The 25,457-nt window shown below is 61.0% G+C and overlaps 4 protein-coding genes across 18 annotated transcripts, besides 18 other annotated features; 2 read left to right on the top strand and 2 right to left on the bottom strand.

The window, feature by feature from the left end:
* Nucleotides 11–400: a silencer, noted in NCBI's record as "silent region_18796". NCBI's record gives its function as "represses an Ori minimal core promoter by ATAC-STARR-seq in GM12878 lymphoblastoid cells {active_cell/tissue: GM12878}" and the evidence as "EXISTENCE:reporter gene assay evidence [ECO:0000049][PMID:35858748]".
* Nucleotides 164–2,572, top strand: TMUB1 (transmembrane and ubiquitin like domain containing 1). Of its 2 annotated transcripts, none has more exons than NM_001136044.2 (3): nt 164–223; nt 1,064–1,482; nt 1,757–2,572. In NM_001136044.2, the coding sequence occupies exons 2-3, from the start codon at nt 1,094–1,096 to the stop codon at nt 2,106–2,108; spliced, it is 741 nt and encodes a 246-aa protein (NP_001129516.1). In that variant the 5' UTR covers nt 164–223; nt 1,064–1,093; the 3' UTR covers nt 2,109–2,572. The 2 variants fall into 2 exon arrangements, with proteins under 2 accessions (NP_001129516.1, NP_113622.1); NM_031434.4 differs by lacking the exon at nt 164–223 and adding an exon at nt 638–893.
* Nucleotides 1,541–1,835: an enhancer, noted in NCBI's record as "tiled region #12172; HepG2 Activating non-DNase unmatched - State 1:Tss". NCBI's record gives its function as "activates a minimal TATA promoter and a strong SV40 promoter by Sharpr-MPRA in HepG2 cells {active_cell/tissue: HepG2}" and the evidence as "EXISTENCE:reporter gene assay evidence [ECO:0000049][PMID:27701403]".
* Nucleotides 2,434–3,113: a silencer, noted in NCBI's record as "silent region_18795". NCBI's record gives its function as "represses an Ori minimal core promoter by ATAC-STARR-seq in GM12878 lymphoblastoid cells {active_cell/tissue: GM12878}" and the evidence as "EXISTENCE:reporter gene assay evidence [ECO:0000049][PMID:35858748]".
* Nucleotides 2,434–3,528: a biological region, named in NCBI's record as "H3K27ac-H3K4me1 hESC enhancer GRCh37_chr7:150777216-150778191".
* Nucleotides 2,553–3,528: an enhancer, noted in NCBI's record as "H3K27ac-H3K4me1 hESC enhancer chr7:150777216-150778191 (GRCh37/hg19 assembly coordinates)". NCBI's record gives its function as "activates a minimal SCP1, AML or CMV promoter by ChIP-STARR-seq in primed H9 embryonic stem cells {active_cell/tissue: H9 hESC(primed)}" and the evidence as "EXISTENCE:reporter gene assay evidence [ECO:0000049][PMID:30033119]".
* On the top strand, nt 2,848–7,033 carry FASTK (Fas activated serine/threonine kinase). Of its 11 annotated transcripts, none has more exons than NM_001258461.2 (10): nt 2,848–2,972; nt 3,735–4,157; nt 4,636–4,734; nt 4,956–5,095; nt 5,565–5,778; nt 5,877–6,036; nt 6,256–6,347; nt 6,421–6,556; nt 6,630–6,744; nt 6,825–7,033. In NM_001258461.2, the coding sequence occupies exons 1-10, from the start codon at nt 2,891–2,893 to the stop codon at nt 6,930–6,932; spliced, it is 1,569 nt and encodes a 522-aa protein (NP_001245390.1). In that variant the 5' UTR covers nt 2,848–2,890; the 3' UTR covers nt 6,933–7,033. The 11 variants fall into 11 exon arrangements, with proteins under 11 accessions (NP_001245390.1, NP_006703.1, XP_011514065.1 ...); NM_006712.5 differs by having other exon boundaries at nt 4,636–4,815; XM_005249932.2 differs by lacking the exon at nt 2,848–2,972 and adding an exon at nt 2,983–3,220 and having other exon boundaries at nt 4,636–4,815.
* Nucleotides 3,529–4,505: an enhancer, noted in NCBI's record as "H3K27ac-H3K4me1 hESC enhancer chr7:150776239-150777215 (GRCh37/hg19 assembly coordinates)". NCBI's record gives its function as "activates a minimal SCP1, AML or CMV promoter by ChIP-STARR-seq in naive H9 embryonic stem cells {active_cell/tissue: H9 hESC(naive)}" and the evidence as "EXISTENCE:reporter gene assay evidence [ECO:0000049][PMID:30033119]".
* Nucleotides 5,482–6,457: an enhancer, noted in NCBI's record as "H3K4me1 hESC enhancer chr7:150774287-150775262 (GRCh37/hg19 assembly coordinates)". NCBI's record gives its function as "activates a minimal SCP1, AML or CMV promoter by ChIP-STARR-seq in naive H9 embryonic stem cells {active_cell/tissue: H9 hESC(naive)}" and the evidence as "EXISTENCE:reporter gene assay evidence [ECO:0000049][PMID:30033119]".
* Nucleotides 6,458–7,433: an enhancer, noted in NCBI's record as "H3K4me1 hESC enhancer chr7:150773311-150774286 (GRCh37/hg19 assembly coordinates)". NCBI's record gives its function as "activates a minimal SCP1, AML or CMV promoter by ChIP-STARR-seq in naive H9 embryonic stem cells {active_cell/tissue: H9 hESC(naive)}" and the evidence as "EXISTENCE:reporter gene assay evidence [ECO:0000049][PMID:30033119]".
* Nucleotides 6,576–6,655: a silencer, noted in NCBI's record as "silent region_18794". NCBI's record gives its function as "represses an Ori minimal core promoter by ATAC-STARR-seq in GM12878 lymphoblastoid cells {active_cell/tissue: GM12878}" and the evidence as "EXISTENCE:reporter gene assay evidence [ECO:0000049][PMID:35858748]".
* On the bottom strand, nt 7,130–25,457 carry SLC4A2 (solute carrier family 4 member 2). 4 transcript variants are annotated; one of them, NM_001199692.3, is made up of 23 exons: nt 24,469–25,457; nt 21,619–21,732; nt 19,290–19,455; nt 18,890–19,131; nt 18,691–18,809; nt 16,896–17,140; nt 16,664–16,806; nt 15,603–15,783; nt 13,575–13,710; nt 13,311–13,476; nt 13,086–13,200; nt 12,746–12,930; nt 12,360–12,585; nt 12,052–12,267; nt 11,820–11,968; nt 11,521–11,715; nt 9,364–9,618; nt 9,169–9,258; nt 8,816–8,982; nt 8,149–8,402; nt 7,882–8,051; nt 7,471–7,644; nt 7,134–7,370 (listed from the first exon to the last, which is right to left on the bottom strand). In NM_001199692.3, the coding sequence occupies exons 2-23, from the start codon at nt 21,667–21,669 to the stop codon at nt 7,290–7,292; spliced, it is 3,726 nt and encodes a 1,241-aa protein (NP_001186621.1). In that variant the 5' UTR covers nt 21,670–21,732; nt 24,469–25,457; the 3' UTR covers nt 7,134–7,289. The 4 variants fall into 4 exon arrangements, with proteins under 4 accessions (NP_001186622.1, NP_001186623.1, NP_001186621.1 ...); NM_003040.4 differs by lacking the exon at nt 24,469–25,457 and adding an exon at nt 23,895–24,068; NM_001199693.1 differs by lacking the exons at nt 21,619–21,732; nt 24,469–25,457 and adding an exon at nt 20,994–21,110 and having other exon boundaries at nt 7,130–7,370.
* Nucleotides 7,434–8,411: an enhancer, noted in NCBI's record as "H3K4me1 hESC enhancer chr7:150772333-150773310 (GRCh37/hg19 assembly coordinates)". NCBI's record gives its function as "activates a minimal SCP1, AML or CMV promoter by ChIP-STARR-seq in naive H9 embryonic stem cells {active_cell/tissue: H9 hESC(naive)}" and the evidence as "EXISTENCE:reporter gene assay evidence [ECO:0000049][PMID:30033119]".
* Nucleotides 13,371–13,871: an enhancer, noted in NCBI's record as "H3K4me1 hESC enhancer chr7:150766873-150767373 (GRCh37/hg19 assembly coordinates)". NCBI's record gives its function as "activates a minimal SCP1, AML or CMV promoter by ChIP-STARR-seq in primed H9 embryonic stem cells {active_cell/tissue: H9 hESC(primed)}" and the evidence as "EXISTENCE:reporter gene assay evidence [ECO:0000049][PMID:30033119]".
* Nucleotides 17,412–18,394: an enhancer, noted in NCBI's record as "H3K27ac-H3K4me1 hESC enhancer chr7:150762350-150763332 (GRCh37/hg19 assembly coordinates)". NCBI's record gives its function as "activates a minimal SCP1, AML or CMV promoter by ChIP-STARR-seq in primed H9 embryonic stem cells {active_cell/tissue: H9 hESC(primed)}" and the evidence as "EXISTENCE:reporter gene assay evidence [ECO:0000049][PMID:30033119]".
* On the bottom strand, nt 21,679–21,729 carry LOC128092247 (uncharacterized). Its single transcript, NM_001414898.1, has one exon. The coding sequence runs from the start codon at nt 21,727–21,729 to the stop codon at nt 21,679–21,681; it is 51 nt and encodes a 16-aa protein (NP_001401827.1).
* Nucleotides 22,367–23,274: an enhancer, noted in NCBI's record as "H3K4me1 hESC enhancer chr7:150757470-150758377 (GRCh37/hg19 assembly coordinates)". NCBI's record gives its function as "activates a minimal SCP1, AML or CMV promoter by ChIP-STARR-seq in naive H9 embryonic stem cells {active_cell/tissue: H9 hESC(naive)}" and the evidence as "EXISTENCE:reporter gene assay evidence [ECO:0000049][PMID:30033119]".
* Nucleotides 23,375–23,964: a silencer, noted in NCBI's record as "silent region_18793". NCBI's record gives its function as "represses an Ori minimal core promoter by ATAC-STARR-seq in GM12878 lymphoblastoid cells {active_cell/tissue: GM12878}" and the evidence as "EXISTENCE:reporter gene assay evidence [ECO:0000049][PMID:35858748]".
* Nucleotides 24,005–24,194: a silencer, noted in NCBI's record as "silent region_18792". NCBI's record gives its function as "represses an Ori minimal core promoter by ATAC-STARR-seq in GM12878 lymphoblastoid cells {active_cell/tissue: GM12878}" and the evidence as "EXISTENCE:reporter gene assay evidence [ECO:0000049][PMID:35858748]".
* Nucleotides 24,798–24,887: an enhancer, noted in NCBI's record as "active region_26850". NCBI's record gives its function as "activates an Ori minimal core promoter by ATAC-STARR-seq in GM12878 lymphoblastoid cells {active_cell/tissue: GM12878}" and the evidence as "EXISTENCE:reporter gene assay evidence [ECO:0000049][PMID:35858748]".
* Nucleotides 24,928–24,977: an enhancer, noted in NCBI's record as "active region_26849". NCBI's record gives its function as "activates an Ori minimal core promoter by ATAC-STARR-seq in GM12878 lymphoblastoid cells {active_cell/tissue: GM12878}" and the evidence as "EXISTENCE:reporter gene assay evidence [ECO:0000049][PMID:35858748]".
* Nucleotides 25,058–25,337: an enhancer, noted in NCBI's record as "active region_26848". NCBI's record gives its function as "activates an Ori minimal core promoter by ATAC-STARR-seq in GM12878 lymphoblastoid cells {active_cell/tissue: GM12878}" and the evidence as "EXISTENCE:reporter gene assay evidence [ECO:0000049][PMID:35858748]".

The following is a 25,457-nucleotide window of genomic DNA, read 5'->3' as shown; positions in this document are numbered from 1 at the left end:
CCGCCAGCCCCTTCGCGATCTGCAGGCGCAGAGAACCGCGGGTGGAGCCCCACACGTGGGTCCGCAGGGCGGAGGGCGGGGACAGCGCGGCGCCGGACTACAAGTTCCACAATGCCCCGGGCCGCGGCGGCGGGGAAGGAGGGGTGCTTCAGGTGCCTGCGACCTCCGCGCCTCCCGCCCGGAAGTGCCCGAGGGGCCGCGATGGAGCTGGGGGAGCCGGGCGGTGAGTCCCCGCGCCGTGACCGCGCCCACCCCGCCGCCCAGGGCCCCGGTCGGGCCGGGATCGCCGTGCCCTCCTGCGGCTTCGGGGGGCGGGAAGGTGGGAGGGGTGATGAGAGGTGGGGGTGGGGAACGTGAAGTCTCGGATTCCGGGCGGGATCTGGGGTCAGGCAGCCCGGGGGGCTTGGAGAGACTTCCAGAGGAGGCGCGGAGTTAGTCCTCCGCGGAGTGGGGTTGAGGGGACCTGGAGGGGGCCGAGCTGGGTGGGTGGTGACGCTCGGTGGCTCCAGATTGCCCAGGGGCGGAGTTTGACGTTTGCTGTGGGGGAAGCCTGGGAAGCAGTCCTGTGCCGCGGGTGGGGTTTAGGTGAACCGTAACGCGGGGGGCGGGGGTGGGGGCACAGAGGCTCTACCCCCACCTCTTAGAAACTTTAGCAGCGGAGTAGATGAGCCTGGGGTGAAGTCGGTGAAGGAGTAGACACACTGGGGTGAAGTGGGCAGGAGAATAGATACGCTTGGGGGTGAAGTTTGGTTGGGGTGAAGTTTAGGAGAGGCGTTGCTTAGGCCCTTACCTTGGGATAGGGTTTGGGTGAGTTGGGAGCTGGTTGAAGACCTCGAGCTCAGATGACAGAAAGTTAGGACTTGGGATTCGGCGATGGGAAGGGGCACCCGGAGGCAAGTTTGGGGCGACTGGGAGGCAGAGAAGCCGGTACCCTGGGGTGGGTGAGGGGACGGAGGCTGAGGACGGTGGGAGCGTCGCGGTGGGGTGAGGGCAGGACCCTGTGGAGGTTCCAGGGCTCCTGGCCAGGGGGCCCGGGCCTCACGGGCTCTTTGTGCCTCTCCAGCTCGGTAGCGCGGCGGGCAAGGCAGGCGCCATGACCCTGATTGAAGGGGTGGGTGATGAGGTGACCGTCCTTTTCTCGGTGCTTGCCTGCCTTCTGGTGCTGGCCCTTGCCTGGGTCTCAACGCACACCGCTGAGGGCGGGGACCCACTGCCCCAGCCGTCAGGGACCCCAACGCCATCCCAGCCCAGCGCAGCCATGGCAGCTACCGACAGCATGAGAGGGGAGGCCCCAGGGGCAGAGACCCCCAGCCTGAGACACAGAGGTCAAGCTGCACAGCCAGAGCCCAGCACGGGGTTCACAGCAACACCGCCAGCCCCGGACTCCCCGCAGGAGCCCCTCGTGCTACGGCTGAAATTCCTCAATGATTCAGAGCAGGTGGCCAGGGCCTGGCCCCACGACACCATTGGCTCCTTGAAAAGGTAAGTAGGTCAAGAGGCAGGAGCAATGCTAAAGACAGGGGTTGGGAGAGTGGTCGCAGAAGGCCCCCAGAGACACCTAAGACCCAGCCCTCCTTTATACTGGAGGCGCTGAGCGCCCCAGATCACAACTGTACTTGTTCCCCTGGCAGACGGCCCCTCCCAGGCCAGGGCCGGTGTGTTGTGGAGGGCAGGGGGAGGGTGGGAGTGCTGTTCCGGGGCCAGGGACTAGGATTGCCTGAGGCCTGCTCTCTTACCCAGGTCCCTCTCTCCTCAGGACCCAGTTTCCCGGCCGGGAACAGCAGGTGCGACTCATCTACCAAGGGCAGCTGCTAGGCGACGACACCCAGACCCTGGGCAGCCTTCACCTCCCTCCCAACTGCGTTCTCCACTGCCACGTGTCCACGAGAGTCGGTCCCCCAAATCCCCCCTGCCCGCCGGGGTCCGAGCCCGGCCCCTCCGGGCTGGAAATCGGCAGCCTGCTGCTGCCCCTGCTGCTCCTGCTGTTGCTGCTGCTCTGGTACTGCCAGATCCAGTACCGGCCCTTCTTTCCCCTGACCGCCACTCTGGGCCTGGCCGGCTTCACCCTGCTCCTCAGTCTCCTGGCCTTTGCCATGTACCGCCCGTAGTGCCTCCGCGGGCGCTTGGCAGCGTCGCCGGCCCCTCCGGACCTTGCTCCCCGCGCCGCGGCGGGAGCTGCTGCCTGCCCAGGCCCGCCTCTCCGGCCTGCCTCTTCCCGCCGCCCTGGAGCCCAGCCCTGCGCCGCAGAGGACTCCCGGGACTGGCGGAGGCCCCGCCCTGCGACCGCCGGGGCTCGGGGCCACCTCCCGGGGCTGCTGACCCTCAGCCCGCACTGGGAGTGGGCTCCTCGGGGTCGGGCATCTGCTGTCGCTGCCTCGGCCCCGGGCAGAGCCGGGCCGCCCCGGGGGCCCGTCTTAGTGTTCTGCCGGAGGACCCAGCCGCCTCCAATCCCTGACAGCTCCTTGGGCTGAGTTGGGGACGCCAGGTCGGTGGGAGGCTGGTGAAGGGGAGCGGGGAGGGGCAGAGGAGTTCCCCGGAACCCGTGCAGATTAAAGTAACTGTGAAGTTTTCACTCTTGCAGTGTGTCTGAGTGTGTGCGGGCTGGCGGGCGGGGAGTCCTCGCCCCTTGGGAGAGAAGGGCACGGACTGCGCCTGGGGTCTGGCCCTCCGCCTTCCCTTCTCCCCAGCGTTCTGCTCTGGCTTTGGCGCCGGCCTCCGTGGCCCCGCCCTCGGCGCCGGGCGCGCACTTCCCGCGGGCGGGGCTCGCGGCTCCCTGGCTCGCAGTGCCTGCCGGGAGCCACGTCTCCGAAGACCGATAGCTGCTTCGGGATTGGCGTCCGGGCGGCTATCTAGGGGCTGCTGGGAAGATGGCGGACTCGGTGGCTAGCCGATGAGGAGGCCGCGGGGGGAACCCGGCCCCCGGGCCCCGAGACCGACTGAGGGAGCGACCTGCGCAGGGCCCGGGGAGTCATGTAGGGGTGGCGCCTGCGGGGAGGGCTGCGGGAGGGCAGCGGGAGCTGGTGTTAGCGGCAGCGGCCACGGTCTCCTGGCGTCCCTGGGCCGGGGTGGGTGTTGGGGCCCCCGACTTCGCCGACTCCGCGCCATCGCAAAGCGGTGCACTCGGGCTCCACGCGCGCCCTGCGAGGTGGGCGCTGCGTTTTCATTTCACGGGTGAGGAGACTTAGAGAGACGAAGCCACTTGTCCAAGGTCACGCCGCTGGTGAGTGGGAGCGCCCAGCATGGAACCCAGCACCGTCCAGCCGCGGAGCCCGCGTTCCACCCTCTGTGCCGCCGCCGCCTCCTGTGGGAGAGGGAGGTGGTCGGGAGAGTGCACGCCGGTGCCGCCTGGGCTCCAGACTGGGCGCGACCACTAACCCGGTTAATGACCTCGGGCTTAACTTAACCCCTTCGCTGCTCTGGGCCTGCGTTTCTCCACCGGTGAAATGAGGTAATGCCAGCCCTGCCTACTCTTCATGGGCGTGTAAGGAGCATCAGAGATGGTGCATGTGGAATTGCTTTGCAAGTAGTGCTGCGCTGAGCGCACTGAGGATTATGATTGCTGTTTCAAAGGCGTGGAAGGAGGCAGAGGGGCGGGGTGGGGAAGAGGCCCAGAGCAGTCACAAAGGCTTGCTCTGACCACAGGCCCCCTAAATGAGGAGTGAGGTAAGCAGTAGGTAGCAGGTCTTTCTCCCCTTTGGAGAAAACCTCACCCCCTTTTTTGGGCTGCCCCTCAGGGTCTCCATCACCCAACTCCATGCTTCGAGTCCTGCTCTCTGCTCAGACCTCCCCTGCTCGGCTGTCTGGCCTGCTGCTGATCCCTCCAGTACAGCCCTGCTGTTTGGGGCCCAGCAAATGGGGGGACCGGCCTGTTGGAGGAGGCCCCAGTGCAGGTCCTGTGCAAGGACTGCAGCGGCTTCTGGAACAGGCGAAGAGCCCTGGGGAGCTGCTGCGCTGGCTGGGCCAGAACCCCAGCAAGGTGCGCGCCCACCACTACTCGGTGGCGCTTCGTCGTCTGGGCCAGCTCTTGGGGTCTCGGCCACGGCCCCCTCCTGTGGAGCAGGTCACACTGCAGGACTTGAGTCAGCTCATCATCCGAAACTGCCCCTCCTTTGACATTCACACCATCCACGTGTGTCTGCACCTTGCAGTCTTACTTGGTGAGGAGGGGCTTGAGGTGGGCGCCTGGGGGGCTAGGTGTTAATGAAGAATAGGGAGAACAGTAGAGGACCACGGACAGAGACCCAGCCTCTCAGGCGTTTGCCCAGGAACGCTTGCTCCTGCTCCCGTCCTATGTCTGCGGCAGACATCATGAGTCGAACGCACTCCTTCCGGCCTCGCTAGGGTGCCACCCCAGATTCCTGCTAATAGAGTGCCCTAGGAAGCCACCATAATTTGTCACAATTGGTATGAGATGAAAGCCTATTTGCCATCTTTGTATGTACTCCCTACAAACCGTTTCGATACCTCATAGCCACATGATACTTTACATGTCTCTAGTGTTTGCACTTAAACTCTAGCACACCTTCCCGCTCAGGAAACGGGAGAGGAGAAAGGTGGAGAATTCACCAAGTAACCCCATGATAAGAACAGCAGCACAGCTCTGTTACCAGGCTGCCTTTTACCTCTCCCCCTCAGGCTTTCCATCTGATGGTCCCCTGGTGTGTGCCCTGGAACAGGAGCGAAGGCTCCGCCTCCCTCCGAAGCCACCTCCCCCTTTGCAGCCCCTTCTCCGAGGTGGGCAAGGGTTGGAAGCTGCTCTAAGCTGCCCCCGTTTTCTGCGGTATCCACGGCAGCATCTGATCAGCAGCCTGGCAGGTGCTGGAGGGGGTTAAAATCAGATGGGGGTGGGGAGGGCTGACAGGAGGAGGAAGGTGGGCTCAGTTGGCTGGGCTGAGGTGGAATTGAGCCAGCCGGAGGTCCGGCTGAGGCCCAGCGTGACAGGCTGCTCTTCACAGAGGCAAGGCCAGAGGAACTGACTCCCCACGTGATGGTGCTCCTGGCCCAGCACCTGGCCCGGCACCGGTTGCGGGAGCCCCAGCTTCTGGAAGCCATTGCCCACTTCCTGGTGGTTCAGGAAACGCAACTCAGCAGCAAGGTGGGCTTGCCACCCACCCTCCAGTGCATCTCTGTCATTCTCAGGGACCTTGTCAGGCCCAGCGCCTCGTGCAGCTCGGCTATCCTTTTCCTGAAGCAGACACACCCTCTCTGTCCCCTGGGACCTGCATCTTTTCTACACCCTTTCTGTGGCTTGCCCACCTCCTGTCAGCAGCATGCATTCCTGGAAATCTGCAGTTTCCCAAAGCACTCTTAGCAGCATCCTAGCTCCACCCATCCCTCTCGAAGTCTTCAGGGCCAGACCCCACAGCGATGTCCCCTCTGCCTGTCTGGTGATTAGTCACGTGCAGCTCGTGACTGCTTTGCTGTTGAACTGTGAGGCCGGAGGGACTGTCCTGTCTTTACAGCAGTGTTGTAAACCTGAGGGCTAAGCCTCTCTAAGGCTTAGCTTGTAAAAGATGACTGCAGAAATACTTGACACTGGGTAATGAACTGCTCTTCCTCCACAGGTGGTACAGAAGTTGGTCCTGCCCTTTGGGCGACTGAACTACCTGCCCCTGGAACAGCAGTTTATGCCCTGCCTTGAGAGGATCCTGGCTCGGGAAGCAGGGGTGGCACCCCTGGCTACAGTCAACATCTTGATGTCACTGTGCCAACTGCGGTGCCTGCCCTTCAGAGCCCTGCACTTTGTTTTTTCCCCTGGCTTCATCAACTACATCAGTGGTACGCAGCCAGGATGGCTGGCTGGGCCCCTGAGGGCTGGAGAGGCAGGGGAGCAGGGTGGCCTGCAGCCCAGAGCCCCAGTCCCCGCCTCCCCACAGGCACCCCTCATGCTCTGATTGTGCGTCGCTACCTCTCCCTGCTGGACACGGCCGTGGAGCTGGAGCTCCCAGGATACCGGGGTCCCCGCCTTCCCCGAAGGCAGCAAGTGCCCATCTTTCCCCAGCCTCTCATCACCGACCGTGCCCGCTGCAAGTACAGGTGGATGGGGCAGCCTGGGGCAAGGGGAGGGGCCAGCCTGGGACCAGCAGAGTGGAAAAGCCAGAGGGACCATGAAGCGCCAAAGCTAAGGAGCTCTCGGCCACCATAAAACTGGGCCCTGAAGCAGCAGAGGGCTTTGCCCAGGGTGGTGGCACTAGACTGGGACAGATTAGGATGAGGTGCCGGGCCCTTCCTGCTACTGGTGTCCTTTCTCCTCAGTCACAAGGACATAGTAGCTGAGGGGTTGCGCCAGCTGCTGGGGGAGGAGAAATACCGCCAGGACCTGACTGTGCCTCCAGGCTACTGCACAGGTGAGCAAGGGGCAGGCGGCAGGCCCGGGGAGACGGAGCCCTGGCTAAGGCCGCCGGCCCTGCTCCCCTCCAGACTTCCTGCTGTGCGCCAGCAGCTCTGGTGCTGTGCTTCCCGTGAGGACCCAGGACCCCTTCCTGCCATACCCACCAAGGTCCTGCCCACAGGGCCAGGCTGCCTCTAGCGCCACTACTCGAGACCCTGCCCAGAGGTAAAGGAGGCAGGGTGGGGGAGCCCTGGCCACCTTGCCCGCCATGCCCTGAGCCACGTCCCTCCCCCTGCAGGGTGGTGCTGGTGTTGCGGGAACGCTGGCATTTCTGCCGGGACGGCCGGGTGCTGCTGGGCTCGAGGGCCCTGAGGGAGCGGCACCTAGGCCTGATGGGCTACCAGCTCCTGCCGGTGAGTGGCCCTGGCCTGGCCCGTGGCGCATCCTCACTCCCAGCCTGCGGGTAACCTGCCGCCCTCTCCTCTCCCCACAGCTACCCTTCGAGGAACTGGAGTCCCAGAGAGGCCTGCCCCAGCTCAAGAGCTACCTGAGGCAGAAGCTCCAGGCCCTGGGCCTGCGCTGGGGGCCTGAAGGGGGCTGAGGGGTTGATGTGGGGTTCAGGATGGCCCCCCCATGGGGGGTGGATGATTTGCACTTTGGTTCCCTGTGTTTTGATTTCTCATTAAAGTTCCTTTCCTTCCCCGTTGTGAATCTCAGTTTTGGGACGGGGAGCAGAGCTGAGTCCCCCGCCTCTTCCATTCATGCCCCGCCCCCCATACAAAGACAAAAGGCCACAGATAGGTGGGGGCCAAAGCACTTTACTGCAGGGGCAGTGGGGGAGGAGAAGACTTTAAATTATTCACTTAAATAAAAAGGAGGGAGGGGCATGGGAGGGGGAACCCCATCCCACCAGCCTGTCCCCTCGTCCATCGGTCCCTCGGCTGTCCCTCGGTGGCGGCTACACAGGCATGGGCATCTCATTGTACTCGTCCACACCCTCCCGCTCATCAAACACCGGCTCTGCCTCGTTAGCATCCAGCTGTGTGTGGGGAGGTGGCGGTCAAGAAGGGAAGTGGGGGGGCCTTTCCAGATCCACAGGGAGGCAAGAGGAACCGGGGGAGGCAGACGGGAGGGCTTACACATTTCATCTCTCGGTCGGTGAAGATACGGGTGAGCACCACCATGCGGAGCGGCACTGTGAGGATGAGGATGAAGGGGAAGGCCAGGGAGGCAGCTGTGGACATGACGGCCCAGAGCAGGGCCAGGCAGAGCAGCTGCAGGGCCGTGAACAGGTGCATACGGAGGGTCCGGACCTGGGGGGCGGAGACAGGTGAGCCCAGCTTCCTCCCTAGCCTGCTGCTGGGAAGAGCCTCTCTCTTCTTCGGAGGCGGGGATGGAAGAACATTCCTAGGTGCCAGAGCTGGGTTGGTACAGAGAGGAGGTGGGGGCTGGCTGAACTGGGCAGATGGGAGGGGGCAGCTGGAGAGTGACCCAAGTAGACCAGGATGGCCAGAGGCACACCCCTTCCGGTGGGGAGCTGGGGGGCTCACCTTCTTGACGTAAGTGACATCTGGGTGGTGTTTGGGCGGCATGAGCAGCAGATGCAGCCGCTCATAGAACTGGATCCCGTTAAGGGAGGTGACTCCCATGTACAGGAAAATTCCAAAGAGCACGGCCAGGGGGATCTGCCGGAGCAGATCCCCGATAACTATGGAGAGGCCTACGGGAGGCGCAGGAGAAAGAGTTGGCCCCGGGGTCCCCTGGCCCCAGTAGCCCTGGGGAATCCACTGGGAAGGGAAAGGCAAGAGGCAACGTACCCACAAGCAGGGCAACCAGCAGCCCCGTCACCCGCTGCTCCTTGACTTCCTGAATCTTGGGCTTGTCCCCAGGTGCCACAGCCTTGCTCATGACAGTGAGCGCGTTGGCGTGAGTGACAGAGCGGACAGTGGCAGCAGCCAACCAGGGCAGGCCAAAGAGGGCACAGATGCCGCCCATGGCCACGATGAGCAGCAGGTCCAGGTGGAAGCCGGAGCCCTTCTGCAGCATGCGCTCCTTCTTGGAGATGATGAGCCTGAGAGCGGGAGGGGTGCTGCTGAGGCCCAGGCTGGACTCAGCTCCGCAGACCACAGGGTCTTTCCAGAATGCCCAGCCAGTCCCTCCATCTGGCTTTGGAACCTGGCGGTCCCTGTCCATTCCGTCAGGATTCAAATTCCGTTACAGAGCAAAACCTGGGCCCCCAGCCCTTATCGTCCATGACAGCTCCCAGCTAGCACTGCCAGGGTGGCCTGCCCCTCCACGTGCTGTTCCTGTCCCAGCAAACATCGGGGTTTTTCTGCTGTCTACAGAATAAACTGTGGCCATCTGGGCATCCAAGGTTCCCTGAGGTCCCTGGGATTGCCCAGTGTGGCTGGAGGTTCCATGCTGAGTTCCCCAGCCTGGCCTGGGGCTCTGGCCTCTCACACCCCTTTGGCTAGGACCACTCACGTGGTGATCTGTGTCTCCATGAAGATGAGAATGAAGACCAGGATGGCGGGCAGCAGGCTGGCAACCATCATCCACACAGGGAAGGGGCTCTTCTCTCCCAGGGGGTTGATGACCCAGCCCCTCTTTTCTGGGGCAGTCACCGAGAATCCACTGGGAACGCTCAGCTTCTGCAGGGCAGACACAGTGTAGGGACAAGGGTTAAGGTGAATGTGGAGGGCATGCCATGGAAAGGGGATGGCATCTTAAGGACAGGCTTAAGCTTAAGGACAGGCTGGGTTTGGAGGCTGGAGGGGAACACCTAGACCCGGGGTGGCAGAGGCAGCAGCACTTGCCTGCTGTGGGCAGCACCTTACCTGGGTATAGGTGTCCTCAATACTGTAATCCACAAGCACCATGATGAGGATGGCGATGGGCACCCCAAAGTCCCCAATCACCCGCCGGATCTGAGTGGGCAGGCACAGCGCTCAGAGTCCTGCCACCACAGCCGCTGACTTCCTGCCACCCCCCTTCCTGCCCCTAACCCCCTCTTGGCCTTTAAGCCCACGCACCCGGCCAGGAAAGAACCGGCTGTTCTTGAATTTGCGCAGGAAGAAGGCGATGAAGAAGGTGCCGGCCATGAGCACCAGCGACAGCAGGGCCGTGTTGGGCTGGCCCCGGGGCTTCCCCTGCCCAGACTGCCCAGCCAAGCTCCTGTTGCCCGGCCCCAGCGTGGGTCTTGCCCCGGCCCATGTCATGTTCTCACCGCCGTCCACCTCTGAGCTGTTGGAGGCTGAGCAGCCATGCAGGGGGTGCTCCTGGAAGATCTGGGGAGAGGAGGCCACACGGCCTCCATCAGCTGGACTGCAGAAAAGATTCCTGGGGCTCAGTGAGTGTCGGGTGGAAGGGGTGGGGCAGGGGAAAGGCTGGCCTGCTTTCAAGGAGCTTGTCTTGTTGAATTAAGACAATGACCCAGAGAACCAGCTGTGAGCACAGGGCAGTGTGGGGCAGAAAAGACCAAGCGGCTAGTATAAGTCAGGAAGGCAGTGGTGAGTGGCACCAGCCAGGCCCAGAGAGGATCCAGGGGCCTAAAGGAAGAGGACATGAGCACAGAGGACCACTGAGTGGCCTGTCACACACATCTGATGCCCAGACTGACTGTCACCTCTGGAGCCTTTCCCCTTTCTACACTCCTGGATTGTTTGACATTTTAACAAAAGCATGTACCTTTGTTATTAAAAAATGTGAGTTTTAAAACCAAATTAAAAATAATGTATTTTTTAAAAATAAAAAAACAGGCCGGGTACAGTGGTTCACGCCTGTAATCCTAGCACTTTGGGAGGCCGAGGCGGGCAGATCACTTGAGGTCAGGAGTTCGAAACCAGCCTTCCCTGTCTCTGCTAAAAATATAAAAACTAGCTGGGCGTGGTGGGCACCTGTAATTCCAGCTACTCGAGAGGCTGAGGCAGAGGCAGGAGAATCGCTTGAACCTGGGATGCCAAAGTTGCAGTGAGGCGGGCCACTGCACTCCAGCCTAGGCAACAGAGCAAGACTCTGTCTCAAAAAACAAATAAACAAATAAAATAAAATAAAATAAAATAAAATAAAATAAAGATGGACTGGGCCTGGTGGCTCATGCCTATAACCCCAACACTTTGGGAGGTCAAGGCAGGAGGATTGCTTGAGACCAGGAGAGTTCCAGACAAGCCTGGGCAATCTAGGCAGGCCTCTTCAAAAAATTTAAAAATTAGCCAGGCGTGGGGCCCGCCGGCAGTCCCAGCTATTAGGGTGGCTGAGGCAGAAGGATCACTTGAGCTCAGGAGTTTGAACTAACAGTGAGCTCTAATGGCGCCACTGTGCCATTAAATATAGAAGTTTTTAAAAAATAAAAGTATGAGTTTTTGGCTGGGTGCAGTGGCTCACACCTGTAATCCCAGCACTTTGGGAGGCGAGGCGGGCGGATCACTTGAGGCCAGGAGTTCAAGACCAGCCTGGCCAACATGGTAAAACCCCCATCTCTACTAAAAAAATACAAAAAATTTAGCCGGGCATGGTGGCGTGTGCCTGTAATCCCAGCTACTTGGGAGGCTGAGGCAGGAGAAACACTTCAACCCAGGAGGCAGAGGTTGCAGTGAGCAGAGATTGCACCAAAACTGCACTCCAGCCTGGGTGACAAAGCAACACTCTGTCTCAAAAAAAAAAAAAAAGAAATAAAAGTATGAGTTTTTGAAAGATTGATCTGTCTAGTTCGAGTTGCTGTTTGAAAATAAATTAAGGCCAGGTGTGGTGGCTAAATCCTGTGATCCCAGCATTTTGGGAGGCCGAGGTGGGTGGATCACCTGAGGTCAGGAGTTCAAGACAAGCCTCACCAATACGGTGAAACCCGTCTCTACTAAAATTACAAAAATTAGCCAGGTATAGCGGTGCACACCTATAATCCCAGCTACTTGGGAGGCTGAGGCAGGAAAATCGCTTGAACCCAGGAGGCAGAAGTTGCGGGGAGCCAAGGTCACGCCACTGCACTCCAGCCTGGGCAACAGAGTAAGAATGTCTCAAATTAATTAATTAATTAAAAGAGTAATCTGCAGCCCTGGTATACGTGTTGGCAACAAGCCCCGGGGATGCTCCAGACCAGCCTGGCCTCAAATCCAGAGGATGGGACCAAGAGACTCCCTCCAGCCCTGAGACCTCGGCCCTCCTGGCCCAGCTCTCGGCAGGGGCCTGCCCACCTTCACCAGCTTGTAGAAGGTCTCATAGATGAAGATGAGTGAGATCAAGAAGGCGAAGATCTCCTGGGTGAAGCGGGAGACGAAGCGGACCAGGAAGCTCCCCTCCAGGGCCACCATGAGCAGGGCCAGGAACACCAGCCAGAAGCCGATCCACACACGGCCCACCAGGTACTCCAGGTGGTTGCTGCTACAGAACTGGAGGGAGGGGCAGTCAGGTCCTGAGCTCTGGGTGGGGATGCTGTGGGGAGGTGTCTAGGGCACGGGAGGGGCGGCTGGAGATGGGCGAGAAGAGCCCTCACCGAGAAGAAGGCCTCCTCAAAGACCAGCAGGGGCCCTGAGAAGCCGATCACCAACAGGGGCTGGGCACCCAGCAGGCAGAAGACCACGCCCTGGAGCGCTGTGGACATAATCAGCTCCGACACCCCTATCAGGTCCTGCGTCTTCTCTCCTAGGGGTGTAGGAACCAGCTCAGGAGCTGGTGGCCAGGCCCTGGGCAGTCCCCGCCGCCCCCTACCTGAAGGCTCTCCTCACCCAGCAGCCCCCCAAAGGTGATGGCAGGAGACAGGGCGGCAAAGTAGATGAAGATGACTGCGGCCAGGCACTGAGGGTCAAGTGCATCTCGGAAGTCACTCAGGTAGTGGGGATAGCGGCGCCGCACATCTCGGATCAGCCCCCCAAAGGGCCGCCCCGTCCGCCGAAGGGGATCATCTTCAGCTGCCCCTGCCGCCTCTACCATCTGCAGGAGCGCTGCAACCCAGGCCTCCGTCAGGGCGCCCCAGCCCCTCTTGCCCACCTCACCCCCTCGAGGCAGCCCTGGCCCCAGCCCGCCCTGGCCGTACCCTTATCTTGGGCAGATTTGGGCTCCAGCCCAGCCCCTGTAGGTAGCAGCCGGCCCTGCTCCTCTCGCTTCTTGAGCATCTGGCGCTGGAAGTGGGCCACAGAGCGCAGCAGCTCCTCGCCCTGCACTTCTGAAGGCGGCAGCACCACGCTGCAGTCCAGGAAGGCGTTGATGGCCGTCAGCAGGTCCTCCCGCTCGTCAGCCAGGTAGGCTGCCTCGTGGAATTGCTGCCAAAGCAGCATGGGGATGGGGGAGAGCACAAAGAAGAGGGCTGAGGGCCTGGAGCTGAGGGTGGGCAAGGCCAGTGGGTGGGAGGCAGTCATGGGGATCAAGACTGGCCTAGGATGGGCTCCAGGAAGCAGGGCCCAGAGGAGGAGGGTAGCTGACCTTGTCTGACATGAGGGTGGAGATGGAGCGGCCGATCTCGTGGTAGTCCATGTTGGCACTACTCGGGCCCAGCAGCAGGAAGAGGAAACGCACAGGCACCGGCACCTCCAACACTGCGTCCAACTCCACAGCCTCCCGGAGCCGCACAAAGGCCATGGTGGGGCGGGAGAGGAACTCCACGCAGCCTAGGGGCGTGGGACCATCGTGGGCAAGAGCAGAGCAGCAGGACCGCCTTCCAGTCCCTCGCCCAGGGTGGCACCAAGGCAGGGCCAGGGAGACTACAGGACTCTGCCTCAAGGCCTGGCCACCAAGCCCCCTACATGTGACCTGCCCCACATACCCACAAGGACCACCGTGGCCTCGGCATTCTCAGGAATCTTCTCCAGCAGTTTCAGCTCGTGCTTGGACTTGGAGCGGGTGATGCCAGCTGGTGGTGCTGGAGGCGGCAGCTCACGCTGGGGGACACAGACAGGGCTCAGCCCAGCCAGGCCCCTCCCACTCTGAGTCCACACCCAGGCTTCCTCAGCCCTGCCGCCAGCCCAGGCAGGGCTGGTTCTCCCCTCACCTCTCGCTCCACCTCCAGCCGGGTCTCAGGAACACCTCCCATGAGAGGCTCGGTGACGTGGGGGTCACTCTCAGCCCCCTGACCATGGTGATGCCCCAGCAGGGAGCCCAGGGAGCCAGCTGAGATGTTGCGGGGGAAGGAGAAGTCCTTCTCATCACTTGGGTGGCTGGTGGGGCAGAGGGCAGTGAGGCAAAGGAGGGTCAATGACAAGGGCCAGGGCAGGTGGGCTGAAGTGTCATCCCCAACTGGCCCACAGGGCCTCACCTGTGTTTCAACAGCAGAGCCCGCAGCACGTTGGCCCTGTCCTCGGCCTTGATCTGGTCAGAGATGACCATCTGCTCCACCACCTGGTGGGCCACTCCGGGCAGGGTCTGCTGGTCCAGATCCAAGAGCACAGCCCCTAGCATAAGATGGCACAGAGGGCCCCTCAGCCCCAGGTCACAAAACAGTGGCAGGAGATGGGATGGGGAGCAGGAGCTGGGGACAGGTGGGTGGGTGCCGGGGCTGGAACACCAGCCTACACATGAAGGACGCGGGCTCGAGTTCTGGCTCCCACAGGAGCCTACGTCACATCAACCCTCTGGTTCCTCCCCTCCCCCAGACCCCCAGGAACGTTATGAGGCTCCACAGAGACTACTGAACCTCAGTGACCAGAGAGGCCATCTAGGCCACGCCTGTCAGACACCCCTTCCAGGAAGCATCCGGCCTCCATGGGGACGGTCCAGGCCGCCCACTCTGGCTGAACCCTCTTGGCTGTTAGAAAACTCTCCTCTAAGTGAGCCAGGTGCTGTGTCACTCTAGGGGCCTAGTTCTACCCTGATACACAACTCAGCTGGTCTGCAGCCTCGTCCGTGTGGCCACCCTGGAGCCATCTGAAGACCCCCCTCCGCCCCAAGCTTCTTGACTTCCTTGTCGGCTTCTCAACCTCCCCTCGCCATTGCACACAGAAATAACAGTCCCTTCAAAAGTTACCAGGTCATTCATCTGGCAAGGCCAACTTTCAGGAACAAAGACTAAAGAATAAACAGAACCAAACACCCCTGAGCAGCCAGGCTGGAGACCACAACGCCCAGTGAGAAAGCCCTTCCACGGCGGCCCTTTACCCAAAGACCCTGAGCCTCACTCACGGCCTATGGACTCCTAGTTGGGAAACAATTCTAAAAGCCGGTTTCTAGGTCCTCAGCTGCTTTTTTTTTTTTTTTTTTTGGTGATAAGAGTCTCGCTCTGTCGTTCAGGCTGGAGCGCAATGGCATGATCTTGGCTCACTGCAAGCTCTACCTCCCAGGTTCACACCATTCTCCTGCCTCAGCCTCTCAAGTAGCTGGGACTACAGGCACCTGCCACCGTGCCCCGCTAATTTTTTGTATTTTTAGTAGAGATGGGATTTCACCTTGTTAGCCAGGATGGTCTCAATCTCCTGACCTCGTAATCCACCCACCTCAGCCTCCCAAGGTGCTGGGATTATAGGCATGAGCCACCGCGCCCAGCAGCTGCTTCGTTTACTTTTTTTTTTTTAATTTAATTTTAAGCCAGGCACAGTGGCTCATGCCTGTATTCCCAACATTTTGGGAGGCTGAGGCGGGTAAATCACTTGAGCCCAGGAGTTTGAGACCAGTCTGGGCAACATGGTGAAACCCCATCTCTACTAAAAATAAAACAATTAGGCAGGCATGGTAGCACGCGCCTGTAGTTCCAGCTACTTGGGAGGCTGAGGCAGGAGGATCACTTGAGCATGGGAGGTGGAGGTTGCAGTGAGCCAAGATCACACCACTGTACTCCAGCCTGGGCAACAGAGCAAGATCCTGTCTCGAAAAAAAAAATTAATTTTTTTCCTAGGCTGCCTCAAACCACAGAACCTCAGCTGCTTAGAAACAGGCCTTTTAACAACAACTGAGAGTGGTCACTCATTGGGAAGGAGCAAGCAAGCAAACACAGGGCTTGGAAGTCCTGCATCTGTGGTCGGTGGTCATTTCGTGAGGTCTACACAGCTGCAGATTAGATCACATTCCACAGAATCTCTAAGATGGTACCAAGGCATGCCAGGAATTTCAGAAAGCTTTACATCTAAATAGCTTCTCGAACATTTTCGCAACCAAAACACATCGGCTTCAGTTGTTATCTGAGAATATCAAGAAGCTGCTGGCCGAAAATGCAAATGTGAGCTGGGTGTGGACCATGCTTCCTCTGGGCTCTGGGGCTGTCACACAACGTGGGGCTCAAGACAGATTTGGGGCCATGTGGGAGAATTTCCTGGGGACTGGCCAGGCGGGAGGTGGAGGGGAGCGGGGTTACCATGGGCCAGGGTCCTGCGGAGCTCCAGGAGACTGCGGAAGGAGAGGGAGGCCACGTGGGGCTTCCCCCAGCGCTCAGTCTCCTCCTCCACGTCCTCTTCAAATTTGATCCAGCGAGCTGTCTCCCGCCACTGGGGCTCCTGGTTTTTGTCCAGGAGCAACTCATTCAGCTCCACAAACACCTTGGGGAGAGAAGAGAAGGCATTTCAGGGTACAGAGCCGGAGGCAGCCCTGGGGTGGGTGTCAGAGGTGAGTGGTGTCAGAGGGAGCCAAGTGACCCTGGAGAGCACGAGCACAGTGGGTGGTGCACAGGCGCACCAGTCCCACAGCCAGCTGGGACCCTGGACAACTGACTAACCAATGAGACGCAGTTTCCCTCATCTGTCAAATGGGAATAATACCCACCTCAAAGAACTGTCAGAAGGATGAAAAGGAAAAGCACATGGCACGCTACGTGCCTCAGAGTGAGCACTTGAGAAATGGCCACTGTATATGAAAGCAATGGCGTTTTGCAGGCCTTTTAACAGACGTGAATTATAACCACAATACTCAAATCAACGACATCCACCATGGGGAGTATAATCACAGTGCCCAAGTCAATAAGCTCTAAGATGTGTATACTGCACTCTTGTGCAGTGTACAACCTTCACAACCAAAGGTGGCATCCCTGGGCCCGGCGCGGCAGCTCATGCCTGTAATCCTAGCACTTTGGGAGGCCGAGGCGGGCGGATTCCTAGAGGCTAGGAGTTGGAGACCAGCCTGGCCAACATGGTAAAACTGCATCTCTACTAAAAATACAAAAATTAGCTGGGCGTAGCAGGTGCCTGTAATCCCAGCTACTCAGGAGGCTGAGGCAGGAGAATCGCTTAAACCCAGGAGGCAGAGGTTGCAGTGAGCTGAGATCACACCACTGCACTCCATCCTGGGCAACAGAGCGAGACTGTCTCAAACAACAACAAAACAACAGTGGCAACCCTGAGGCTTGAGATTACAGCTGGTCTGAGAGGTAGGGGCAGGGTCGTGTGGGAAGTTGATGGAAGAGCATGAAGCAGAGCATGGTACCTCATGGGGCTTGTGGGGGGCCCGGGGTCGGGCCCGAGGTGTGGGGCCAGGCTCCCGCCCTTCTCGGCCACTCTGTGTGGAACCTTTGGCATTCTTCCGCACCAAGTGCCGCCGCACCCCAGGAACGTCCTCAAACCGGTGACCTGTGGGGGCAGAGGACCAAGGTTGGGCTCCCCCTTTCTCTCACTCCTTTGCCCACCAGTGCCGGGCTTGGCCAAGGCCCAGCACTTACTCTTCATGAGGTCTAGGTCGGCCGTGGCCAGCGTCTGGGCCTCAATCTCATCCGTGGGGACCCGGGGCAGCAGTGCCTGCTCAGCCCCAGTCATGCTCCCGATGCGCCTCCTCTCCTGAAGGTTGTAGCTGCGGTGCCCAGGCTGGGCTTTGGGCAGGGGGCGCCCCGAGGCACCCCCGTCGTCACCCCCTGCAGTGCCACTGGCCACCGCCACCGCCTCCGCCTCCGCCTCCTCCACCTGGGTTCTAGGCAGACAGAATGGCCGTGAGCCCGAGAAACCTGGCCTCCTCCCCCACGCCCAGCACCCACGCAGGCGGTAGCCAGGGAGGGGACCCACATCGGACTCCAGGCCCTCCTAGCTCCCACTCCCGGGAGGTGCGGGCACGGGGAGGGGGAGGATTCTGGATGCAGACTGCCAGCATCCGAACCCCAGCTCCACCCTTTTCTGGCTGTGCAGCCCCAAACGGTCACCCCGAGGCCCCTCTGAACGGCCACTGCGAACGTCAACTGCTCCTCAGCAGCCAGGGCTGAGACCAGCCTTTGGCGGTGCCATGAGGGGTGAGATTTTGGAAAAGTCCCAGTGCAGGTCCTGGTGCAGAAAAGGAGCTCAGGACGCTGCTTCCTGACAGTCAGCATTCATCCCCCTGCCCCCTCACCCCCTGGCACATCCCTAGACATGGGACTCAGAGGTTCACAGGGGCCTATGTTTAATCAAGAGGAATAAAGTCCGTGGCACCGGGCCTTGGAGATGGCAGACAGCTTCCTGCCCTGGGAGGAGGGGTAAGCCTCAGGCTTCACAGACGCCAGCTTCTGCTCTCTCCCTTCTCTCTGCCACACTGGGTGGCCAGGGCCCTGCCACGTGGTCCTACCCCTCTCTCTCAACATCAAGAGCCCCCAGAGCTCCAAGCTCTGACTCAACATCAGAGTCCCCTCCCATGACCAGGCTCTCCTAGCCCCCACGTGCCCTGGCCCACAAACCCGACCCTTTCCTGATGCCAGGCTTTCTCGGAAGCCCCAGCCTCCTCCCTGCCATCCTGGCGCCCCTAAGGCCGCTGTAACCCGCCGCCCGCATCTGTGCCACGGTCCCAGCAGGTTATGCGCTCCCAGAGGGGACAACATGCCCTTCACTTCCCGCAGCCCTTCACGCTGCCTGGCACCCAGAAAACAACAGGTCCGTGATAGTAGTGACCTTGAGACCTAGTTCAAAGTCATTTTCTCCAGGAAGCCTTCCCCCAAATGCCAATCATCCACTGGTACTGACACTTTGCCTGAACCAGCCACTGGGTGCAGTGACAACATGCTGATGCCATCTCACATGATAACATCTGGTTTCCAACCAGCGTGTGTTGGCAGTGCCCCAAGGAGAGGGGGTCTCCTTTGCCTCTTGAACCCTGGGGCCTCCAGCAAGTGCTGGGAGGTCACCAGTCCAGTACCTGAGCCAGTGCTGGCTATTGCTCCCACTACACCACAGGCAGGGGTGGGAGACGGGCAGGGGTGGGAGGCAGCTTAGGCAGCGCGTGTTCTTTGCCAGGCTAAACCATACTTAGAACTTTAATTCACACCACCCTTAATCCCTACAGCCGCCCAGTGAGAAACGTTCTGTTATGCTTGGTTTCTGATGAGGAACCTGGGGCTTGGAGAGCTTAATTAAGTTACTTGCCCAGCCAGTGAGTGCGGGCCTGGGATTTGAACCCTGGCCTGGTGATTCCAAGGCTCATGCTTTGTTCCAGCATCACCTCACTATCCTAGCAGGGGAAGTGTCTGTTGGGGACACTGTTGATTGGGGTGTACTTACCCAGCCTGGGCCCCTTTGGAGGCCCGAGGAGTCGCCTCCTGGTGGGGCAGTGGTGCAGGGGAAGATGGACTGGTCCTCTCTGCCTTCCGGTCAGCACTGTCATCCTCTTGGAGAAAGAACTGTAACAGGGACCCACATGGGCAGGAGTGACCAGGCCAGGGCCCTGCCGACATGCCCTAGGAGCCCGCACCCAGCGCACCTGCACCGAGGAGGGTGTGGAGACAGGGGACGGCTGAGTGAGAGCCCGGGCCCCCTCAGCCTCGCTGGCCTCATCCTCATCTTCCTCCCCCTCCTCAATGGTCGGGGTTTCTCCAGTCGGGGAGGCTCCCGGGCGCCTTCGAGGCTTCCGTCCTGGGCCCTGGGGTGTCTTGCGGCGGCGTGCATCCGGAGGCAGGTGGGTGGACAGTGGGTGATGGATGTGGTGGGAGGACTGGCGGTGGTCTGCAGGGAGGAGGGGGACTTGGCTGTGGCAGGCACAGTGTCCCTCCCCTGCCATCCTGCCCCCTAGCCCCACTCCTCCCACTAGGACCCCAGTCCCTTCTTTGCTGGACAGTCAAACCTGATCCCCCCACCTCCCCCTCCCCTGCCTGCCCCCTCACACTCAAAGTCTTCCTCCCCATAGCTGCGGCCTGGCTCCTCCCCTCCACGAGACCCGGCCTCCTGTAGGATCTCCTCAAACCGCTCCACGCCCAGGGTGCGGTGAAGTTCGTCTTCCTCCTGCTCGGGGAACCCAGGCGTCCCAGGGCCCAAGCTCTCTGGCTCTGGCTGTGAGGAAGAAGGCAGAGAGAAAACACACAGGGCTCACTGGGAATTGTACCCCGAAACCTCACCCTTCCCAGTGCCAGAGACCCAGGAACCCTCCCCCGCCAGCAGCTATCTCCTCTAATGCTGGTGGCTCTATATGCCCCCAGCAGCTGTCCCTTAAATATAGGGACCCAGGCCAGGCACAGTGGCTCACACCTGTAATCCCAGCACTTTGGGAGGCTGAGGTGGGTGGATTGCTGGAGGTCAGGAGTTCAAGACCAGCCTGACCAACATGGTGAAACCCCATCTCTACTAAAAACACAAAAATTAGCCAGGCGTGGTGGCGGACACCAGTAATCCCAGCTACTCAGGAGGCTGAGGCAGGAGAATTACTTGAACCTGGGAGGCGGAGGTTGCAGTGAGCCAAGATCGTGCCACTGCACTCCAGCCTGGGTGACAGAGTGAGACTCCGTCTCAAAACAAAAACAAAAAAAAAGGAAACAAATATAGGGACCCAGTCCTCCCAAGCAGTCTGCCCCCTCAAATGCAGGAAGCCAGTCACCCTACCAGTAGACATCCCTTCAAACACAGTGACCCAGTGTCCCCCCAGCAGTCTGCCCCCTCAGATGCAGAGACCCAGTCCCCCCAGCAGCTGTCCCCTGGGTTCTGAGCTACCCTCATCCCAGCCCAGCCCCCTTGGCTGTGTAGTCAGTTCAGGGCAGGTGGAAGAAATCCCGTGTGTCCAGCCCATCTGCAGCCTGGAGGGAGGGCGTGTGAACCGGGAAGTTCACATGACAGATAGTGAAGAAACTCCAGTTGGCCTGAGGACAACTGCTGAGCCCAAAAAGTAACTTCTGGCGGCGCCCAAGCTAACCGACCCAGAGCCTGTCCGAGTCAAACAAACCCAGCCCCGCAGGGACCGGAATGGATGCCCTTCAGCCCCCAGGAGAGCTCCCCCAGCCCCCAGGCCCCCGGCCCGAGCCCTGGGCCAGGTCCCTAGCCCCACCCCTCACCCCACCCCCACAGCCCCCACCTGAGTCATCCTGCGGGCGCGGAGCAGCGGCCGGCCGGCACAGCCGGCAGGGAATGCGGCGCTTGTAAGAGCTCAGCCCAGCTAAGCGGCAGCCGCCTGGCCAGGCAGCCTTGGTCCAGCCCCCCACCCACCCACGGTCTCAGCTCCAGGCGCCGCCAAATATTTGCTCAAGAGCTTCTGGACCTGAAGGGCATCGGGATCTCCAAGGGCGGGGGTATGCAGCCCCCTCCATAGCGGTGCCAGCAGCCAGAACAAGGAAGAGCGCGGGGAGGGCTGGGGTGAAGGGCGGGTCTTAGGGGCGAGGTGGGGACTGGAGCAGCTGGGACTGGCAGAACACCGGATAAGAGAAGGTGAGCGGGCCAGGGGGCTGGCTTCTCCCCTCTGTGAGGAAGGCTCCTGTCCATCTCCTGGCTCCCCTAAGCGCCCAGCCCCACTCCCACCAGAAGCAGCCCCGTGGGACGAGGGGACGGGGAGAGGCGCAGGGAGCTTGCCGCCATGGGGAGAGAGGGTCGCAGACCCCTCGCACCTGAGGCCGCAGGAGGAAGTCCATGGCCGGCAGGGGTGAACCTGAGAAGGAGGGGGAGGGGACCAGCCTGTGCCCCTTCCCAGTCACGTGCCCCTCTGGGCCAGTGTGACCAATAGCGGAGCTGATTGTGGCACGGGGTTAATCATTAAGACTCCTTAGGAAAATCCAAAGGGGGCCATGTGGAGCGGTGGCCACGTGGGGGCAGGGAGGGGCGGGCCTGGGTGGCACGTGGGCAGGGGGCGTGGCCAGTCGTGGCAGGCGAGCTCCGCCCAGAACCCTGGCCCGCGTGCAGACTTGACCTGCGCCTCTAAGGCCAGCCGGGTCTGAGACGGGTTGCTGGGTGAGAGACCCAGGGTTCTCAAAGTTCCTCAACCGCTGAGGCTAAGCTACCTAGGTCTTCAGGTAACAGCCTCAACTCCCTCCCCAGGACTGGAAGACGTCTGATACCCCCACTACCCATCCCCCCCTACGACCATCATGCAAAGTCAGGGTAGGGATGGCAGCATCCTCCCAGTCTCCACACTCACACACGCTCACACCCCTGGTTGGCGAGGACCCTTGGCCGGAGCACCCAAGGCTGCCCAGGGAGGGAAGGTTGGGCTGGCGACCTGGGGGCCACACTCACCGTACAGAAAGAATCTGCGCCCTTGGCGGGGCGCCGAGGGGCGCTGCTCATGGCCGAATCTTAGCCCTTTTCGCTGTCGCTGCGGCTTTCAGGGCAACGAGGCGGAGGCATAACCTGGATGGGGGAGAGGCCTGATCACCATCGAGAGCCCTGGGAGGGCAGGAGCCACCACGCGCAGGCTGCGCTGCTGGGGATCCTCCTGGAGTATGAAGGGCCTCAGAGTGGCCCTTAGCGGCAGCCACAGCACAGAGGAGAGTTATTTATAGGAAGAAAAGAGAAGAACAAGGAGACAGGAGAGGACTGAGGCGAGGGGGGCCGAAAAGGGCCGAGAGGCTGAGTAGAGGGAGGAGGAGAGAGGAGGTGGGAAAGGCCGCAAGAAAAATGAGGGAGAAAGGAGTCAAGGCCCAGGCCCGGAGAGAAAGCAACAAAGATGAGGGAGGGAGTGATAATGAGCTGGGGAAAGAGGGGAGTGAAGGCCCAGGCAGACAACGGAGCCTCGCAGGGTCAGGGCACCCACCAGAGGTGGGCCTGAGACCAGAGAGGGTGTGGTGGGGAGGGTGAGACACCCCGTGGAGCCGGGGCCGGGCTGCCGAGACAGGAAGCAGACGAATGGAAGAACTCTGGAGAGAGCCCAAGATGCCCCTGCAGGGAGGGGGTGCCCCCTCCCCAGTACAGGCCGGCAGGAGGCTTCCCTCCCCCAGGTCCTTGGGGACCGGCAGGAGGGAAGCAGGCTGGCTGGGTGGAGGGCAGGAGCTCAACTCCACTCACTCACTGAGAGAGAGGAAGGCACAGAAGGTGGGCATGGGCTGGGCAGAGCTTTATAATGGGGGAGGGGCATGTGATGGGCTGGGAGGGGGTGGGCACCGCAACCTTGAGGTTCTGCCTCTGAGGGGCAGTCTGGATCCCGCCCCTCTAGAGCCTGGAGCCAGGAAAATCTGAGTGGCAGTGCTGCCACCCTCCTGACTGTGACTGTAGGGAGTCTGGGGAGGACACTGTGTGGTGGGGGCAGAGAAGGAGCTGCAGGAGGGAGCCCAATCCCTGCAAATAGGGGGCGCATTCCTAGCGGGTCAGCACAGGGGGCACCCAAGACTGGCAAAAAGTGACGGTACCCAACAACCCATGCTCCCAGTGTGTTGCTGGGGACTGGGGGTGCCTGACTTAGGAGTAAGACAAGTCAGTGTAGCGTCAAACAATATAGGTCTGGGGGGGTCACCCAGGATGGGGAGCCTGGCAACACATTCTTGGCAAGCACTCCAACTTGGCTAACCACGCTCTTCCCCTCCCCCTCAGCAGGCCTTCAGCCAGGGCGGGTGGTGTGGGTGAGCGTGAGTGCACCCAGTCTGGGAAGGGTGTGGGGAGAGTCCGCCCAGAGCACCTGCAGGCGCCCACTCCCACCTCAGGCTGTGCCCTCGTCGCGCTCCTCCACACTCCTCTGCACCCCCTCCCCTGCTGTCCCAGAACACAAAGCAGCTTCTGTCCAGAGCATCGGTGCCGATAATCCGGGTAGGGGCACATTCCCGGGACCAGCCCCGACCGGCCCAGAGGATTAGTATCTCTCCCCTTGACCAAGGGATTAGCACCTCGGACCCCCACTTGGGCATTAACCACCCCCCAAGTGAACTCGTAAATTCCGCAGCTCTTCCATGTGGGGCTGGCGGGGGAAACGAAGGGGGATAAAGTAGACCCTGGGTTTCAGGCAGTGCCGCCTCTCACACCCAGCACAGAACTTCCCGCCTGGACAAACCGACCCCGGGAGTCAGGTCCAACTCTCCGGGCTCATCTTTCCCATTCCCACCCAGCTGCTCCCTCTTCTGTCTGACCCCTTGTCCGACCTTACCCGCCACCCGCCTTTCCTGGCTTCGCCTCTCAACCCGGAGATTGGGGATGGGGGCCCCGGGCAACCCCCAGTCTGGGCGCCCCGGACGGGACTGAAGGACTATGCGGGGGGGCCGGAGGGGAGGGGTGGTCTGGAGCCAGCCGGGGAGTGGGAGGGCCGGCGGCGCCTCGGGGAGACTACCCCCTCCTGGTGGCAGGGGGCGCGGCACCCTGGCTTTAGGGAACTCTGAGAAGGGGACCCCGGAATGCCCGCTTCCGACCAGCACTCCATCCGCCTCCCCATCCTTCTCCCCAAGACCGCGGTTCCCCGCGCCCCAGTCTCCGCCCTTTCCTCCACTTCCACTCCCTCCCCGCTCGAGTCCCGAGTTCCCCCCTCTCCTTCCCCCTCCCTTCCTCCCTCTGCGGCCCTGGCCGTCCCCCGCCACCACCTCTCCGCCTACCCGCTCGCTCTGGACTTCGTGCCCCGGGGGTCTCGGGGTCTCTCCCCGTCCTCCGGCGCACTCGCGCGCTCCCGACGACTGCCCCGTGCCCACCCCGGGGCGCGCCCCCGCCGCTCCCAACTTCTCCCAACTCAACTTTCCCCCGCGCCGCGGGCAGGCCAGCCCCCTGCGTGCGCGCCCCCCGGCGCACCGTGCGCGGTCCCGCCTTCGCGGGTGGGGAGGCGGGAGCGGGGGCCGGGGCGGGGGCGCGCTTCCAGGCACAGCCCGGCACCAGGGGCCGCCCCCGCCGTCCCTCTGCCCCAAGCTTCTCCACTCGGGGCTCGGGAGCCCCGAGGATGCCGTCCCTTGGCTCCATTACGGCACCTCTGAGTGTAAAGGAGCCCTTCTCACGCTAGGGATCCCAGGCAGCAAAACGCAGGCACAAGGAAATTCGGGGAAGTCGAAACATAAACGTATCGGGGTTGAGATTCTCTTGCCCCCCTCAATAACCCCCGTGCCTCCAAGAAAGCCCCTGAGGGACGGGTGGCGAGTGGGTGAGAAGGGTGACAGGGGCTGGAGGCTGGCCGCCCGGTACCCTGAGCTGATCTGGGAGAGGGTAACTTGTTAGAGGCTCTCCACTTCCAGAGAGGGACAGAGATTCGCTGTGCTGGCCTCCTTCCTCTTGAATGGAACCTCCACACTGAACCGAACCCTAGGCAGAGCCATCACTTATCATTCAAGACCTTTGTGTGTAGTTCTTTTTTGCCCAACGAAATCACAAAGTCTTCCAGATAAGGAATACACTTTTTGCTTCTTTTCCCTTGTGTATGCAAAAGCATTCAGATAGAAACGAGTTAATTAACACGTGTTTAGCAGCAACTCTGGTTCCGGTGCTGAGGAGTGCTGTTTGGGATCCTTTTCCCTCGGTCCATAGCCCTCAAGAATGCAATCATGAGACAATTAGAGAGGCAGCGTAAGGGAATCTATAATCAGCTCCTTTAAGGGGTGAGGCAGAGGCTGCTGCAAGTTGAGCATCGGTCTGTGGTCTTGTCTGTGGAGGGGGTTAACCAACCTGCCTGCCACACCCTGGCTGACTCCAGTGGGCCCTGTTCCGGAGACTGGGGTCTGAGGGGGACCCCCAGGGCTCCACCCAGTTTTCCTCAGCATGTCAGAGTTCAGCGGCTAGAGTCGGGTGGGCTCCGAGACAACAAACGGGGCTCAGCAGAGAGGGGGTCTTTGGCGTGTGTCCCTCCACTAAAATCCAGCCTCGAAGGGGCACAGCTGTTCTCCCAGCCCTGCGGTCAGCTGTTCCCTGTGAGGTCATCATCGCTCACAGGCATTCCCCAGTCAATTCTGGGGTCACTAGGTGGCTTGGGGAGAGGTGGAAACCCGTGCTGAGGTCGTCAAGAGGCCGTTGGGAACACAATGCCACCAACCAGGTCAGCGCTGGGCCGCCAGTGCCCGGGATCTAGGCCGCCAAACCCCAAACCCCTAACCGAGAGCGCTCCGCCCCCATTTCCGCTGCATTCTGGAACGCGTAGTCCCGGAGCGGCCCTTTTCAAGAGGGCTGGGAGCACATAAAAG

This window comes from Homo sapiens, chromosome 7, assembly GCF_000001405.40.
Source record: "Homo sapiens chromosome 7, GRCh38.p14 Primary Assembly".
Taxonomy (NCBI): domain Eukaryota; kingdom Metazoa; phylum Chordata; class Mammalia; order Primates; family Hominidae; genus Homo; species Homo sapiens.
This window is presented reverse-complemented; position numbering and strand designations above follow the sequence as displayed.

Bases quoted from the DNA above. Each gene is read 5' to 3' on its own strand.
- TMUB1 (NM_001136044.2), top strand. From the start codon at position 1,094: ATGACCCTGATTGAAGGGGTGGGTGATGAGGTGACCGTCCTTTTCTCG. The intron at 1,483-1,756 runs GTAAGTAGGTCA...CTCTCTCCTCAG, and splicing joins ACCATTGGCTCCTTGAAAAG to GACCCAGTTTCCCGGCCGGG.
- FASTK (NM_006712.5), top strand. From the start codon at position 2,891: ATGAGGAGGCCGCGGGGGGAACCCGGCCCCCGGGCCCCGAGACCGACT. The intron at 4,158-4,635 runs GTGAGGAGGGGC...TCTCCCCCTCAG, and splicing joins GCACCTTGCAGTCTTACTTG to GCTTTCCATCTGATGGTCCC. The intron at 5,096-5,564 runs GTGGGCTTGCCA...CTTCCTCCACAG, and splicing joins AAACGCAACTCAGCAGCAAG to GTGGTACAGAAGTTGGTCCT.
- SLC4A2 (NM_001199692.3), bottom strand. From the start codon at position 21,669: ATGAGCAGCGCCCCTCGGCGCCCCGCCAAGGGCGCAGATTCTTTCTGT. The intron at 19,132-19,289 runs GTGAGGGGGCAG...TCCTCCCTGCAG, and splicing joins TGGGGAGGAAGACTTTGAGT to ACCACCGCCAGTCCTCCCAC. The intron at 15,784-16,663 runs GTACCATGCTCT...TCTCTCCCCAAG, and splicing joins CCCCCCACAAGCCCCATGAG to GTGTTTGTGGAGCTGAATGA.